Source organism: Homo sapiens, chromosome 1 (genome assembly GCF_000001405.40).
Source record: "Homo sapiens chromosome 1, GRCh38.p14 Primary Assembly".
NCBI classification, from domain to species: domain Eukaryota; kingdom Metazoa; phylum Chordata; class Mammalia; order Primates; family Hominidae; genus Homo; species Homo sapiens.
Genome location: NC_000001.11, coordinates 182,406,332 through 182,424,221, shown reverse-complemented (window position 1 = coordinate 182,424,221; position 17,890 = coordinate 182,406,332). Strand labels below are relative to the sequence as shown.

The 17,890-nt window shown below is 41.7% G+C and overlaps 1 long non-coding RNA gene across 1 annotated transcript; it reads right to left on the bottom strand.

The window, feature by feature from the left end:
- Window positions 1-9,408: 9,408 nt before the first annotated feature.
- Window positions 9,409-16,601, bottom strand: LINC00272 (long intergenic non-protein coding RNA 272). The gene is made up of 4 exons (NR_034131.1): window positions 16,190-16,601; window positions 15,615-15,694; window positions 14,862-14,979; window positions 9,409-9,536 (listed from the first exon to the last, which is right to left on the bottom strand). It is a non-coding gene; the product is annotated as a long intergenic non-protein coding RNA 272 (long non-coding RNA).
- Between the last annotated feature and the right edge of the window lie 1,289 nt (window positions 16,602-17,890).

Genomic DNA, 17,890 nt, shown 5'->3' with positions numbered 1-17,890 from the left:
TATTTTGAATACTTGAAGTTTCTTATATATGATTTTTTAAAAGATAGTGGAGTGCAACTGAATGTGGATTCTCAATGATTCCACGATAACACCTAATTCCATGCACAAAAGTGTCAATCTGGGCACCCTTTCACATTTCCTTCTTGTGTGACATCGAATATTGCCCTGTCCTCTCCTCTCTAAGCATTCATGCTGGCAGCACATTGTAATGAAAAAATTGGCTTTCAAAGTTGGGCCATCCAGTTGAATTCCTAATTTTTCTCGCTACATAAACTTGGAAAGTCACATAGCTACTCTGAACCTCAGAAATCATCATCTATTTTAAAAGACTGATAATTGTACTTAGTCACTAGGGGGCTGTCAAAATTGAGAATAATAATGCTAGTAAGAGTATTTTCTAAAAATATTATCATTATCCAAGGCAACATTTTCACATGTCCATGTTTTATCTATTTTATTCTTTCTTTTTTATCTATTTATCTATTTTATTCTTTAAGCTTTTAGTGCTCCTTTGCCAAGGTTTATTGTGAGTTACTCTGTGACAGATGCTAAGTTAGGTTTTATATGTTTTTTATCATTCAATCTCACAAAAAATCCTAATTTATGTTAATAATAATGCCAGTTAGTATCTTCATTTTGAGAATGAGGAAACTGAAGCTTAGAAAGCCTAAGTAATTAACCCAAAGTTCATGCAGTTAATACACGTTACAGTCAGGGTTTAAGTTCAGGCAGACCAAGTCCAGACCCCAGCCCCAAGTCTCCACACAATGACAGAATTCAGATATCTTGGCTTGGGGTGTTGGGGCTGGGGATCAGGGAAATAGAAGAGGTGATTTAGGGGATGAAATTTGCAAAGGCCCCTCCGATCACACCCCAGAGGCAGTCCTGGCTGCTGGTTCCCATAGTTAACCTTCAGAGTTCCACTTTGAAGAAATTCAAACTCCATTCTAGAAGGAGGTGTCAGACTTTCTTCCCTCATAGGGCACAGTGGGCTTCTATGCCTGCCCATATGGAGCTGACACTGCAGCTTCTCCATGGCAGAATGAAACAAGCAAGGCCATAGCACTCAGGGAAATATATCTGATGTCTAGATAATCCCAGCCAGGGCCTAAGACCTCTTCACAGCCCAGCTACTAACCAGCCTTCAGATTTTTTATTTGCAATAAGAATTTGTAGCTTTAGATATTTCATTCCAAGTCAAACAGGTTTATTTGAAAAGAAAAGTAAAAAACAGTTAATAATCCAATAGAAAGCTATAGTTTTGAGCTACTGATAGAGCCAAAACTCACCAGTTTACAAATATTGTCTTTGCCTACTTGTTCCCTCTGCCCATGCAGCTGCCCAGCCTCTCAGTATCAAAAGCCCCAAGATCAAAGTAGGCTTTATTCCTGGAATGCAAGATTGGTTAAACACACAAATCAATAAATGTGATTCACCACATAACGAGAATTAAAAACAAAATCCATATGATCATCTCAATAGATGCACAAAAAGCTTTCAATAAAATCCAACATTACTTCATGATTAAAAACCCTTAACAAAGTAGGCATTGAAGAAACATATCTCAAAATAATAAGAGCTGTCTATGACAAACCCACAGCCAACACCATACTGAATGGGCAAAAACTGGAAGCATTCCCTTTGAGAAGAAGAACAAGACAACGATGCCCACTCTCATTGCTACTATTCAACATAGTAATGGAAGTCCCAGCCACAGCAATCAGGCAAGAGACAGAAATAAAAGACATTCAAATAGGTAAAGAAGAAGTCAAATTATGTCTCTTCACTGATGATATGAATCTATACCTAGAAAACACTAAAGGCTTTGCCAAAAGGCTCCTAGAACTAATCAAGTTAGTAAAGTTTCAAGGTATAAAATTAGTGTAAAAAATCAGTAGCATTTCTACTTACCAATAATAATCAAGCTGATAGTCAAATCAAGAAAACAATTCCATTTACAATATCTACATACACAAAAAATACCTAGGAATACATCTAACCAAGGAGGTGAAAGATCTCTACAAGAACTACAAAACACTGCTGAAAGAAATCATAGATGACACAAACAAATGGAAAAACGTTCCATGCTCATGAATTGGAATAATCAATATTATTAAGATGGTCATAGCAATCTACAGATTCCAATACTATTTCTATCAAACTACCAATGTCATTTTCCACAGAATTAGAAAAAAATTCAGCCAGGCACAATGGCTCATGCCTGTAATCCCAGCACTTTCAGAGGCTGAGGCAAGAGGGTTGCTTGAGGCCAGTAGTTCAAGACCAGTGTGGGCAACATAGTAAGACTTCATCTCTATTAAAAAAAATTTTTTTTTTTTTGAGACAAAGTTTCACTCTTGTTGTCCAGGCTGGAGTGCAATGGCATGATCTCGGCTCACTGCAACCTCTGCCTCCTGGGTTCAAGCAATTCTACTGCCTCAGCCTCCTGAATAGTTGGGATTACAGGCACCCGCCACCACGCCCAACTAATTTTTTGTATTTTTAGTAGAGGCGGGGGTTCATCATGTTAGTCAGGCTGGTCTTGAACTCCTGACCTCAGATGATCCACCTGCCTCAGCCTCTCAAAGTGCTGGGATTACAGGCTTACAGGCGTGAGCCACCACGCCCAGCTATTAAAATTTTTAAAAATGAAAAAGGTATTCTAAAATCATATGTAACAAAAAAGAACTCAAATAGCCGAAGCAAAATGAACAAAGCTGGAGGTATCACATTACCTGACTTAAAGTTATACTATAAGGCTACAGTAACCAAAACAGACACATAGACCAATGGAACAGAATAGAGAACCGAGGAATAAAGCCACACAGCTGCAATCATCTGACTTTAACAAAGTTGGCAAAAATAAGCAATGGGAAAAGGACTTCTTATTTAATAAATGGTGCTGGGATAGCTGGCTAGCCATATGCAGATGAATGAGACTGGACCCCTACCTTTCACCATATACAAAAATTAACTCAAGATGGCTTAAAGATTTAGATGTAAGACCTCAAACTATAAAAGTCCCAGAAAAAAACCTAGGAAATACAATTCTGGATATTGGCCTTGGCAAAGAATTCCTGACTGAGTCCTCAAAAGCAATGGCAACAAAATCAAAAATTGATAAATGAGACCTAATTAAAGAGCTCCGCACAGCAGAATAAACTATCAACACAGTAAACAGGCAACCTAAAAGATGGGAGAAAATATTTATAAACTATGCATCCAACAAAGGTCTAATATCCAGAATCTATGAGGAAGTTGAACAATTCAACAAGCAGGCTGGGCATGGTGGCTTACGCCTGTAATCCCAGCATTTTGGGAGGCCGAGGTGGGCAGATCACTTGGGGTCAGGAGTTTGAGAACAGCCTGGCCAACATGGTGAAACCTTGTCTCTACTAAAAATACAAAAATATTAGCTGGGCGTGGTGGTTCACTCCTGTAATCCCAGCTACTCAGGAAGCTGAGGCAGAATTGCTTGAACCTGGGAGGCGGAGATTGTGGTGAGCTGAGATTGCACCACTGCACTCCAGCCTGGGTGACAGAGTGAGACCTCTGTCTCAAAAAGAAAAAAAAAATTTGACAAGCAAAAATATAACCCTATTAAAATGTGGACAAAGGACATGAACAGACACTTCCCAAAACAAGACATACATGAGCCAAGAAACGTTTAAAAGAATGCTCAATGTCACTAATCATCAGAGAAATGCAAATCAAAATCACAATGAGATACCATCTCACACCAGTCAGAATGGCTATTGCTGAAAACTAAAAAAATAACAGAAGCTGCTGATGCTGCAGAGAAAAGGGAACACTTATACACTGTTGGGAATGTAAATGAGTTCAGCCACTGTGGAAAGCAGTTTAGAAATTTCTCAAAGAACTTAAAACAGAGCTACCATTTGACCCAGCAATCCCATTACTAGGTATATACCCAAAAGAAAATAAATCATTTTGCCAAAAAGACACATGCACTTGTATGTTCATCACAGCACTATGCGCAATAGCAGAAACGGAATGAACTTAGGTGCCCATCAGTGTGGGCTGGAAAAAGAAAATGTGGTACATATACACCATGGAATACTACACAGCCATAACAAAGAATGAAATTATGTCCTTTGTAGCAACATGGGTTCATCTGGAAGCCATGATCCTAAGCTAATTCATGTAGGCAGAGAAAACTAAATACCATATATTCTCACTTATAAGTAGGAGCTAAACATAGGGAATTCATGGACATAGAGATCAAAACAATAGACAGTGGGGACTACTAGAAGGGGGAGGAAGATAGCGAGACAAAGGCTGAAAAACTACCTATTGGGTACTATGCCCATTCCCATTTAGCGTGACAGGATCACTTGTACCCTAAACCTCAGTGTCACACAATATACCCATGTAACAAACCTGCACATGTACCCTGGAATCTAAAAGTTCAAACAGAATCCCCAAGATCAAAAAGAATATTGAGTCATAGTCTGAAGAATTTCAAAATGATGGCATCCTCCTGTTAGAGCTTTCCTGATAACATGGACCATATGAACAAAATAGGATTGTCAAAGAGTAGACTATCATCTGCAGCTGAGTGGACTTCACCAGGCGGAATTGTCAAGTTTAGGCCAGAAAAACATCAGTGCTTCTCCTGCAGTTGTCCGCTTGCTCCGTCATTTACCAACTGGCCAGAACAGGATGATATTTTTAAAAATTAGCATTGACAAGAAACATTCTTCTTATGCAACAAACACTGTAGATAGTTAATCCTCATAATCAGCATCATTCTTATTTGACATGTAAAGTAATCGAGGCTCAAGAACTTGTCAAAGACCATGCAGCCAGGAGATGGAATCGGGATTCAAAGCCAGGTCCAGCTGGGGCCAATGCCTGGTTTGCTTGTGGCTGTGCCATACTCACTGCCTCTCGGACCCATCCTCACCACTCTATCCTCTGGGTAAATGGACTTCACCAACATGCCTGGCCAATCTCAATACCATATGTGACAAGATGAATTACTGTGCCTCTGAGGTACTCAATTAGGTCTGAGTTTTCACTGTTTTATCACCTGGATCCATGGAAATGGGAGAGGGGCCATTAAGGCATACATGCCCCTGTCTGAGAAACCAGAGCTTGCTGCTGACAGCCAGATGAAAGGACGGTGCCTGGCTTTCTGCACAGTATGTTGTAAAGCCAGCATCCAATGCATTCATTCAGGAGGACCCATTCTCCCCAGCCCACCCTTAAATGCCTAAAGCAAGTTTCTATTTCCTATGACTCTTTATCCCCAGGATTTTACTCCCAAGATTGCCCTAACTCAGAGAAGAAACTGAAGGTTGGAGTTAGCTTAGCATAAAAACATGCACTTCTCATTAGATTGTCCAGAGCATGAGCTGTAACCTGCCCCATTTCAACACTTGGAACAGAAGCACAGCACAGAAAAATAGAACTACGGCTACATTCCCATTATGTCCCTGACTGCTCGAGACCTCTGGCTTGTTTGTTATTGATCAGACGCAACATAAACGCCACAATCAGGCCTTCAAGATCTGTCAGCTGTCTCTCCAGGTCCCTCTATTCAAGCCTTCTGGTCCTCCCACCCCTTCACCTCCCCTTATACCAACCCCCCCTTCCCCCTGCAACTTTGGCAGGCAAGTTGCTCCTCCCCAAACCCCTCTCCCTCCCATATTTGTGCCTTGGCTTATGCTTAAAACTCCCTTTCACCTCTATGTTCCTCCTCTAACAGCATAATTTCTTTTAAAACTCAAATGAAAAGATGCTCCTCCTTTTTACTAATACTTATTCAGTAGGCCCCCAGTTACTGGGCACCTCCTATGGGTCATGGAGCTCCTTTTTGGACAACACTTATTGAGCCTTTTTTATGTCCTAGGCATCAACTGCCTTGCATACCACCTTATTTCTCTGCTCCTCTTTACAGGAAATCTCAGATATGCCGTTTATAGTCATTTCTCAATTCCTGTCTTCCCCTGCTGTTTGAACCAACTTCAAACAGAGTCTTGACCCCACCTCTCCACTGAAATTGTTCAAAGTCGGTAATGATTTCTACACTACTAAACCCAGTGGTCAATTTTTAATCCTATTCTTCGTTAACCTCTCAACAATATTTGATACAAGCATCTGACAACATGTTATTTTAATGAAGAAGTGTTATTTAAGAGAAGTAAGATAATGTTCCAGAAAATATTTTTCTTCATATTTCACCTTATGAACTAAAGGCAGAATAAGTACATTTTTATATATACACAAAATCACTATAATTATATCAGCTATAATTGGAGTCTGATACAAGTGTGGTGATTCAAACAACTGATGTTGCTGCTAGCAATGTATTTTTCCCCCAATGTTGAATAACTTTTGATAGAATTCTGAACAAAACAAAGTACATTTCTTTATTTAAATGATTTAATTTTAAGTGTATATTAAAGCTGTGCTAAGAATACTTTGTAGAGTGGAGACAGGGTGTAGGCTCAGAAATTATAGGTGTTTTGCCTGTAAACCCAGCATGTTGGCAAGCCAAGGAGGGTGGATCACTTGAGGTCAGGTATTCAACACCCACCTGGCCAATATGGTGAAACCCAGTTTCTACCAAAAATTACACAAATTAGCCAGGCACGATGGTATGCACCTGTAGTACCAGCTACTAGGAAGGCTGAGGCGGGAGGATTGCTTGAATCTGGGAGGCGGAGGTTGCAGTGAAATGAGATTGCAACACTGCTCTCCAGCCTGGGCAACAGAGTGAGACCCTGTCTCAAAAAACAGAACATTAAAAAAAAATGGTAAAGTTTATGTTTTCCCCACTTAAGTAAATGCTTACCAGAACATTCAAAACTTGTGTGGCTCATGAGATATTTCATTTTTCTTGATACTCTCTCATACATTGTGGAATATCTAATGTACCTGGCCCTGGCCCATGAAATGACGGTGGCACTGTCAGTCATTGTGAAAATCAAAAATGCCCTTTAAAATTTCCACAGTGCTCCTTAGGAAGGTGATACTTTGTTGAGAGACAATCTCCCACGGATCTGTCTCATTTCTGCATAGCTCATGAGCGGGGCCACTGACTGGCTTTATTCTGGACTGTCTTTTCAAGGATAACTGTACAGCAAAAAGCTTTGGGATATGGAAAGAGTGGATCCATTGGAGCAAAAGGTACGTATGTTTCTTGCTCATTAGAAAAGGTTCAGGCCTCCTAAGCCTGGGTTCCTTTCCTCTAATGCGACTTACTGCATGTGCAGGCATCTTCTGCACTCTTCATGCGGCTTGAGGAATTGAGGCCCTGGGATCTGGGGTAGCAAACTGCAGATACTCTGGCTCCTGCTATTGCTGCAGTAAAGCCCTTTGTCTGTGAGCTGAGAGTCTTGTGTCTTCTGCAGCATCCATGAACCTGTGGCAGGCTAACTTGTTAGCCTGTAAATTGGAGAAAAATCTCACTTTCTTCATAGTTCCTCATACCTACTCCACTGAAAATCACTAGAACTATATGCTAACTCCCAAATCTATCTATACTCTCTTCCTGACCTTTCCTTGAACTTCAGACTTTTATAACCAGCAACGGCCATCAATACTTAAACATCATTCAGGCATCTCAAATTTTTTATTTTTATTTTTTTATCACTCCTACTATTCTGAACAGCTCAAACTTTAAATGCCCCCATGTAAACTCCTAGTCTTTTCCCAAAATTCTTTTCTTCCCAAGGGTGTGCCTTTTATTAAAGTTGTCACTGTTCTCTACCAGCTCCTAAATTGCAGGTATTGGGTCTTGTCTTTGTGGCTCAGACAGCTCCTAATGGTATGGTAGATGACACAAGCTGTGGCTAACGAAATGAGCTCAACCCATCCCAGTGCAGGCTGAAAGCAGTTTATCTTTCTTACTGCAGCCCCCTATAAACCTGCCTTGTGGAACTAATTTTCTTTGCTCTTGGGGAAAAACCTCAGTCACTCAGATAACAAAGGTCCAGTCCAGTATAGTCATCAAATAATTCATCCCAATTCAAGGTAATATCTAAACTATAAACATCTTTCCAACTTAAAACTCCCCTCCCCCTTGCTGGGCTGCTTAAGCTGAGGAGCCTTCAGAGGTTGGAGGTGGCTGTGGCAGGGCCTTGGTCAGCTTCTCTCTTCCTGGCTTCACCTCCTACCCACTCTGTAACTGCCCTCTGCTATCCTGCTCCCCCGGGGCCCAGGGAGGAGAGACTGGGGAAAGAGCACTGTCTTCTGTGGCTGATGCATTTGCTCATGTCCTCTGAGTCATCTCTCTCCAGAGGTGTCTCTGTGGCTGCTGCAGAGATCCTGAGATCAAGCACTGAGGTATCCTTGATGTCTCCAATACCCCTCTTCCAGACAGTGAAATAGAAGGAGGAGCCTTCTACTCCTCCTCTAACTCCAAAGGTCTCTTTTACCCCTCCAGGGTGTCTTCTGGGGGAAGAACCCATGAAGAAGATCCCAATGCTGCTGGCTTCCCTGGGGTTCATATATACACCCTACAGACAACTGCCACTGCCCTTCTCCCATCAGTGGGTGTGTGCTCAACTCCCACTCTGAGCCCCTCCTCCCTCTGACCAGGCAGGCCCAGCCCCACATGAGGGTCAGACACAGCCTCTTGGTCCCTCAGACCCCGAAGAACACACGCCTGCTCTCCACATGGCATCCTTGAAGCCTTTCTCACGTGGTTGAAGGGCAGGGGTGGGTACCCCTCATCTTTCCCACTATCAGGGGAAGGGTGGGCTGCAGAGAGTGCACAGGACACTGACAGTTCTCTGCAGAGAAATCTCCCTTGTCAACCTCTTGCCAACCTCTATTCCTTACATGGGCTAAAGCTGGGGATGACCAAAGACTGATGGCGGCACTGTATTTCAAACTCCTGCATAGGCGCTCCAGCACCATGCCTTGGAATGACTGTGGGACTTCCCACCAACACTTTTATTACTAGCTTCTGCTGAAACTCAGAGACAAGAGGATTGGCTACTGTGAAGATCTTGTTTCAAATGTAGGTTGAAATGAATTCCAAAAATGGAAAATGACAAGATACGGCTCCAAAGGAGGTCTACTGCTCCTGAGCCATACCCAGAAGACCAGTGCTGCCAAGAACAGAGCATCTGATGAATTCTTAAGCACCTTGCTGGGAACATCTTCAGACTGGGGAGGCAGGGAAAGAAATGTCTTTGAAAAAAGAGTTCTTTGGGGATGTGAATGTGGCAGGACACTGGGAATAAAAGATCACACCACTGGGGAAGTTGTAACAAGGAGGGGAACGGTGGGAGCATTCAGTCTGGAGGTTCCAAGCCAGAACTCATTCTCCCTAGGACGCTGAGGTCCTTTTATGACAGAAGGGAACTGCCCCTGCTGGGGGCTGCCTTTGGCAATCCCAAACCTCCTTATTTAAATATCAGTACTTCTCAACTTCTATCTGAAAGTGTATTATTTAAAAATGAATAAATAAATATTAGTGTTGATCTCCACTCTCCTTTTTGCCCCAAAACTCCATATCCCAGTAGAAAGTCTTGGAGATCTGCTTCTTACCAGCTTAAGGACTAGAATAAAGAAGGAGAAACAGAAATACATGTGAGAGACACTAACCACCATTATTTGAGCATATACAATGATCTACCACCCTAGCCTATTACAATACAAATCATTTGACCTTTACAATTCTGAGGAGTGGATGGAACTAGCTTTATTTAACTTATAGGGAAAACGAGGCTCAAACTGATTGAGAGATTTTCCCATGAAAACACAGATGGAAGAAACAGGGTAGGTATAACTTGCTTCTCCCAGAACATTCCCTGGACTTTCCTGCCAGTGCTCACATTGTGTGTTCCACCTAAAGGGCCACTGTTTTTTTTTTTTGACATAGGGTCTCGCTCCATTGCTCAGGCTGGTGTGCAGTGATGTGATCACGGCTCAACCTCAACCTCCTGGGCTCAAATGATCCTCCCACTTCAGCCTTCCAGGTAGCTGGGACTACAGGCATGCATCACCACGCTCACCTGGCTAACTTTTTATTTATTTTTTGTAGAGTAGGGTCTCACTATGTTGCCCCGTTGGTCTCAAACTCCTGGGTTCAAGTGATCCTCCTGCCCCAGCCTCCCAAAATGTTGAGATTACAGGTGTCAGCAACTGCACCCGACCCCCATTATTCTTAAAAGGGCAACTCTCATCTAACTCTTGCATCTGGCCATCTCAGATGACTCCAAGGTGGAAGCAAGCGCATCTTCCTCTATCAGATGGGACTTTTACCTCTTTTATGACATGTCACCGTCTTCTCCTAATGTGGCCACCTATGTACATCTTTTTCCTCTCTTAGAATGTGAAATCCTTAAGAAGAGTAACAGTGTCTCATTCAACTAGGTATGACCCAAAGAATTTCATAGGAGCATTAGAGAAGTTTCTTGCTCACAGTAGGTGTTTGACACATGTTGGTTGCATGAGAAACACAGAGGCATTGCAAAAGATGAAATCTCAGGTATGCTGGTACCACAGCCCCTTGTTTGCAGCTCAGATGAACTAGATCTGAGGGTTCGCTGTCATCAAAAGCAAACGCTGGCCAGTTGCCAGAGGGCATCTACCCCATCCTGGCTTCTGCTTCAAAGTTTCTCCTAAGTCCCAGCCGCAGCTCTCTTGATCTTTCCCTATTTGCTCATTAAAGTTAATTTTGGACATGAAAAGATCCAGAACCAAATATTTCATTAAGGCCAGGTCTTAATGCAGCAACTGCAGACAAAACAGGTAAAAATAGGGCAGAGGTTCTGAGTATGAGGCCAGCAAATGTGGCACCTGTTTAAACCTCAGGCCCTCTGTTCATGGGCTGATATCTTCAGTCAGCTTGGGGGATGCTAAGAATATCAGGGGAAGCCAATTATGTCTCTTTATAGAGATATTTTAAGTATTCAAGGAGCTCCTCAGTTCTCCTTCTTGGGGTATTAAAGAAATAACTGGCCAGGCACAGTGGCTCACACCTGTAATCCCAGCACTTTGGGAGGCCGAGGCGGGCTGATCACTTCAGGTCAGGAGTTCGAGACCTGCCTGGACAACATGGTGAAACCCCGTCTCTAGTAAAAATACAAAAATTAGCCAGGCGTGGTGATGCACCCTTGTAGTCCCAGCTACTCAGGAGGCTGAGGCAGGAGAATCACTTGAACCCAGGAGGCAGAGGTTGCAGTGAGCTGAGATTGTGCCACTGAACTCCAGCCTGGGCGACAGAGTGAGAATCTGTCTCAAAAAAAAAAAAAAAAGAAAGAAAGAAATGACAATTTTTGTAAAAAGTGTCATCTAGAGTCCTGGAAAAGGACTAAGATACCAATTATTAATAATTATTAATATCAGCTACCATTTTCTGAGTTACTACAAAGATTGTGCTGAGTATTTTTACATAAATTATGTCTTCTAATCCATACAGTAACAGTAACCCTCTGAAGTGAGAGAAGTTAAGCTATTGGCCTGAGCTCTTATAACTACTGAATGGCAGAAAACAAGACAAAGGTGAGGCTCCAACCATGGCAGGAGTAGTCCTAGAGTCCGTACCACTAAATGCCTCACTGTGTTGCTTGTTAGGGTATCTCAAAATGTCCTTGTCTTTTTTTTTTTTTTCTTTTGAGACAGAGTCTTACTCTGTCGCCCAGGCTGGAGTGCAGTGGCGCGGCCTCCACTCACTGCAAGCTCTGCCTCCCAGGTTCACGCCATTCTCCTGCCTCAGCCTCCCGAGTAGCTGGGACTACAGGCTAATTTTTTGTATTCTTAGTAGAGACGGGGTTTCACTGTGTTAGCCAGGATGGTCTCGATCTCCTGACCTCGTGATCCGCCCATCTTGGCCTCCCAAAGTGCTGGGATTGCACCTTGTCCTTCTTAACAGGAAGAAAAGACACTAGCCAATAACTGCTGCATTAGATGGTGCTGCTCTGAGTGAGGTACCAGCGAGGTGAGGACTTGATGTTAATTAAATCTTATATATAAAATTCATTTATTTGAGGAATAAAAAAGTAGGGGCTTCACACAAACTATTGGTGCTATGAGAAACCAAGGACATCTTTGCCTGTGACATGCCTCTATGGCATGTCAAGATTCTTAAGATCCAATGGGATTGTTTGTAAAGTTTGACAAAGCTGGAGCTGGAGGAGTCAGGAAAGCTGGAGAACACAGAGACACGGTAAATTGTCCCCAATCTCAGACTTCTCTAATCTTCCATTCTAACATACTTATCTTTGTTTTAGGGGAAATTTTAATTCTAGTAAGTGTAAGTTACTCATTCCTATGGAATTCTTTTTAAAGGAAGAACTGGGGTCCAAAATATATTAGTAAGTCTAAATACATGAATAATCACAATAAATTTAAGTATCTTAAATTCCTTTGTCAAAGTAACACAGATTTTCTGAATACTCTAAGCTATAGTGTTAAACTATATAATATTTAAGACATATTCTTAAACTAAGGGGGTACAGAAAGGCTGAAAAATAGGCATTAAAGTATACTAGATAAATAGTAAAAGAAAGCACATGCTATAATGCTAATATCTAACAAAAGAAAATGAAATGAGAAGCATTAACAATTAAGAGGGACAAAGATATTTTTCTTTCAATTGTATTCAATTCACCAAGAAGATATAAGTTATGAATCTTAATGCATTGACAATGTGGCATTATATTTTTGTATATATAAATATGTGCATTAAATAAATGCTGATGGAAATAAAGAGAAATAATACAGAGCCATGGTCAAAGAACATAATACATTCATTTCAGAAATAATCATATCATATACAAAATTAATAAAAATTATTTTGAATTAATTTTGAAGATTTGAATTATTTTGAAAATTTGCATACTGCACAGGAATATTTATTAAGAAAAAAATACATCCCCTTGCTCCCCCCCGCCCCGCTCAAAACAGAAGTAACATCAACATAAAAAGAACGGTAAAAAGAAAACAAAATAATTTATTTGGAAATTAAGACATTCTTCTAGGTAACTTTTGTGTTAAAGAGAAAATAAAAATAAAAATGGAAAAACTAGTAAGAAGTGAATGGTAACTCCATGTATCAGAGACTCTAGACTGCAGCCAGAGTAGAATCAGAAGAAAAAGGAAGTCTCCTCCAAACCCTCCAGGGATTATGATTAAGGGGTGGCTGAGCTAGTTGCCCCTTATAGGTTCATCCCACATTGCCAATTCCCCTGAGCCTTCAGACTTCTTAAACTAGAGTGGCACTATCCAATACAGTAGCTGCTAGCCCCAAGTGCTAAATTTAAATTAACTAAAGTAACAATAAAATTTAAAATTCAGTGTTTTAGTTGTTCTGGCCACATTTTAAGTACTCAATAGCCACAGGTGGCTGGAAGTTATTGTGCTGGACAGCACAAGCTACAGAACATTCCATCGTAGAAATAGAAAGTTCTGTTTGGCAGTGCTTCTCTAATGTTTGCCAGGGACATTCCAAAATGTCAATTCCACTGACTGTAGGCCACCACTGAGTCCAGGTTTCAACTGGCCAACCTAGCAGACTGTATGTACTACTTCTATTTGCTCAAGCCAACATATTAAATTCAGAATCTCAGGGAAGTAAACTCATATCAAGGAATGTGGTTAAGTCAGCTCTTCAATTTTACTTTAGATGGTCAAATAGCTTTAGGATTCATTCATAGCCATGCTCCCCAAACTCTGGCCAAAACTGATTGGTAAAGTCTCATAATTATTGTAGTGTATCAGTTTCCTCTCCCACCTCAGACCAGGTCTTGTACATCCTTACCTTGGACCTACTCTTGTTATGGTCCTGGAGGTACTTAGAGAAGTGGGAGTGAATCCTACAGAGGTCAGCATCCCACGGGGATGGCATTCTCCCAGGTGCAGTGATTGAAAGGTGTTTATACAGAGAAACGTGCCCATACAGAGAAAGGTGCCCTCTCTGGTGGGAAGAGGAGTTTCCTCAATCAAAAAAGGAGGTCATATGGAATTGGGGAGTTCAAAGTTTTCAGCCTGCCCAGGCGCAGTGGCTCACACCTATAATCCTAGCATTTTGGGAGGCTGAGGCAGGCAGATTGCTTGAGGTCAGGAGTTCAAGACCAGCCTGGCCAACATGGTGAAACCCCGTCTCTACTAAAAATACAAAAATTAGCTAGGCGTGGTTGTGTGGGCCTGTAGTCCCAGCTACTCGGGAGGCTGAGGTGGGAGGATCACTTGAGCCTGGGAGGTGGAGATTGCAGTGAACTGAGATTGTGCCACTGCACTCCAGCCTGGGTGACAGTGAGACCCTGTCTCAAAAAAACAAAACAAAACAAAACAAAAAAACCAAAGTTTTCAGCCTCACCTTTTCTCCCTCTCATATCTCAGGATCTCACTCCTTCTCCCACCAATGCCCTTAACTTAGTCTTAGAGACTGGCAGGGGCAAGCATTTAATTGGTTCTGCCACTGTACAAGCCATACAATACAGCATTTGATGTCATCTTTGCCATATCTGCCATGAAACTATAAGAAATAAGGGATTCCTTTAAAGATGGCATAAAAGTGCTTTCATTTCCCACCCATCTTCTGAATTGAGTATTTAAGGCCTTCAATTTTTCTTTTCACTCTGTACACTCTCTTGGGCAGCACTGTCCAATACAACCTTCTGCAGGGATAAAAATGTTCTCTACCTATGCTGCCCTATAATATAGCAGTCACTAGCCATATGCAGTTTTTGAGCACTTGAAATGTGGCTAGTGTGACTGAAGAACTGAATTTTAAATTTCATTTAATTTTAATTAATCTTAATTTTAATGTAAATAGCCACATGTGGTTAGTGGCTACCAGACTGGACAGCACAGCTCTAGGGCACCAAAAGGAGTTAGCTGACCCAAAATTTTTATACTCATTATTGTCATCATCTTACCAATTTGCCAAAGCCACTTCCTCTCCCAACCCCTTGTCCTCCACTTGCACTTCAGTCCATGCAATAATGGTGTAATTGCGATGCCACCATAACTTGGAAATGAAATGTCTCCTTTTCCCTGGCAAGGAGGTTATCCATGAATTTCTCAAGTGTGAGAGCAACCTAGTCCCAGAATTCTATCTTCAGGGCCACTCTTGATATCTGTTACTCTATCAATCATTGATCTAGAATTGCACACTCAAAAGGGGTAAAACTGTTAAGTGTTAACTAAAGGGGCCATTTAAAACACTGTTGGCAGGAAAGCTAACATACCCAAGGGTTAGCGACAGTAAAGAGCCACTAACCACACCTAGGTACAGGGAAGCAGCTGACCAGACCTGAGGGGTAGCTCTAGCTGTAGGAGCTGGCCTCCTGCTGGAGCTGGGGCCCTCTGTAGGTGATGTAAACAATCTCTGCACTCAGCAGAGAGGCTACCTGGGAATGGATACGTCAGACCCACTCTCCTCCTGCTCACCACCCTCCTTCCTCCTTCCTGTGCCTTCCTTTAACAAACCCAACCAGAAGCCAGAATGTGAAGAAGGTTGTTATTGCCATCCATAAAGTACAGCCTCCAGAGGCATAGAGGGTGGGTAAGGGTGGAGGGTGGTTCTAGAGTAGCAAACAAAACATTTCTCTGTTTGTGCTACTACAGTAGCTCACCCATGTTTGAACTATTAAGAAAAAAGTCTGGACAGATGAGGCCTGGACTCTGACCTTGTGCTGATTCCCCATAGAAATGCCACCTGTGAGTTCCTGATGAAGGCAGCTGGTCTTCCCTCTCCTGGAGCTATTCCCTAATGAAATCAAATGAGTTACAAACATTAACGATGACAAACACAGTGAGGAAAATTTAAGCAACCAAAGTGGGACAAATTAAAAAGGTGATTTTGAAAGAATCTTATAGTAAAAACATAGTAACGGGCAGTTTTCTATGACATGTCTAGAGATGATTACTTGTATCTACCCCACAAACAAATCTTGTTATTGAAATCCTCTAAAATGCATTCTACACATTACTCAGCATGATACTCTGTAATTCTAAATAATTCTTTAATATAGGTTTGTATATGTAGTGTGTGAGTATGTGTACTACACTTTTAGCAATATTGTAAGCTCTGTGAGGACAAGATTACGTCACAATTAGTAAATTCATATTTACTGGATTCCTGAGGACCTTCTTGCTCACTGGAGCATTTCATGATGCTAGACACAGTGGTAAAGGCTGTGCCTGGGGCCCCTTGGGACTGTGGGATGGTGCATTGGGGAGACAGGCGTTGGGGGAGACTCACCATGGAGCAGACAGGCCACAAAGGACCTCCTCGGCTCTTTTGGTCAGTCTGAGTTTCCCCCACAAAACAGCTTTCCCAGTACTCTGTGTTTAGATTCTGGAGCTGTCTTGCAGTTCTGCTAATCATTCACCACCTTTGGCTTCTTTCTCAGCTACTGTGGGCAGTGTGTCTGGTTTGGGATGGGTGATTCCTATCTTCAAAGTCCTGGGATCAGGATGTTCATGTTTTAAATGAACAACATGTAGCTTTGATGCCTGGCCAAGGAGGGGGACGGGACACCACAGATAGAAGGTTATTTTGGGGCTATTTATTCTGCATCCATATCATTTTCAGCCTCAAACATCTGGTGTTCTAGTGCACACTTCTGCCCTTCTCCTCCTCTGACTGTCGACATCCCTGTTCCAGTTTTCAGGAGTTAAATAGGGTAGCCAGAAGATGAATGGTATTTGTTTGTCCCCCACATCCACTGCATCCCTAGACCCACTGCCCCAAAGGCAGTAGAAGTAATATTACTAGTGAACAAATTCAGCCCACCTGCATGCCTGCAGTCCATTCTAGGTAGAACTAGGTTACTCAGAAGCAGGCACTGGTTCTTTGCTGATGGTAAACACTTATAGGAGCATTGGAGTTCACTACACCAGGAGCCACTTTTCCTCAGGGCAGTTCAGTGATTTCCCAGAGCAAAAGCAAGAACCAAAGGGAATCCCAACCATTTCTCCTCCCTGGTCCGCTCCATCACAAAGTCACACCCACAGCTTCCCTTGTACCTCCTCTCCCTAAGCATGCAGCTCTTTGAAGTTTTCTGAATGTTTTGACCACTAGCTAAAAGAAGACAATTGTGGGGTAATAAATACTCCCTTTCTATGCAACAACCCTGTTCTCTCTCTCAATTTAGAAAACACATGTCGAAGTCATTCCTTCCTCTAACGGAAATAAAGGCTTTGCTAATTAAGAGAAAACTGGGACCAAAACCCTGATCTCCTAATTTCCAGTCAATCTTTTTTTTCCATTTCATCACCCTGTCTTCCTAAAGCTGGGTTTCTACAACAAAATGTCAACAGTGGTTATCATCAGGTTATGGGATTGCAAGTGTTTCTTTTTCTCTCAGTTTTGGCTTCTGTATTTTTCCAGATTTTTCTATAAGGGTTATGTATTAGCTTTGCATTAGCTTGGATGAACTAGCTGCACTAACAAACAAATGCAATAATTTCCATTCCTTAATTTTAAAAAAGTTAATTTCTTTTTATATTCATGCATAGTCCAAAATGAGTGTTCATGATCTGCGTATAAGCCTCCTACAATGAGTAATCCAGGAAATCTGTCCCTTATACCTTGGAGCTCCTCCATCCTCAACAAAATATGACTTTTAACTAGGCTGGGATATTCTGTATTAAGCCAGAAGAAAGAAAAGTAGCATAGAAAAGTATGTGAGGGAGGATTTTATGGGTAAGAACAGAAAGTAATATATATCACTTCCTTCACACTTCATTGGCTAGGACTCAGTTATAAGCCTGCATCTAACTGCAAGGAAGGATGGCAAACAAAAGAAGAAAAAGAAACAAATTCTATGAATTGCTAGCCAGTATATGCCACATTTGTATATATGTAAAAAAAAGGTTGAAGTTAAAATGGAATAAGGAAGTCAAGTCCCTCTGGAAAGCAATCTTATGCTCTCTTTCCTACAGTATTTTCACATGCAAA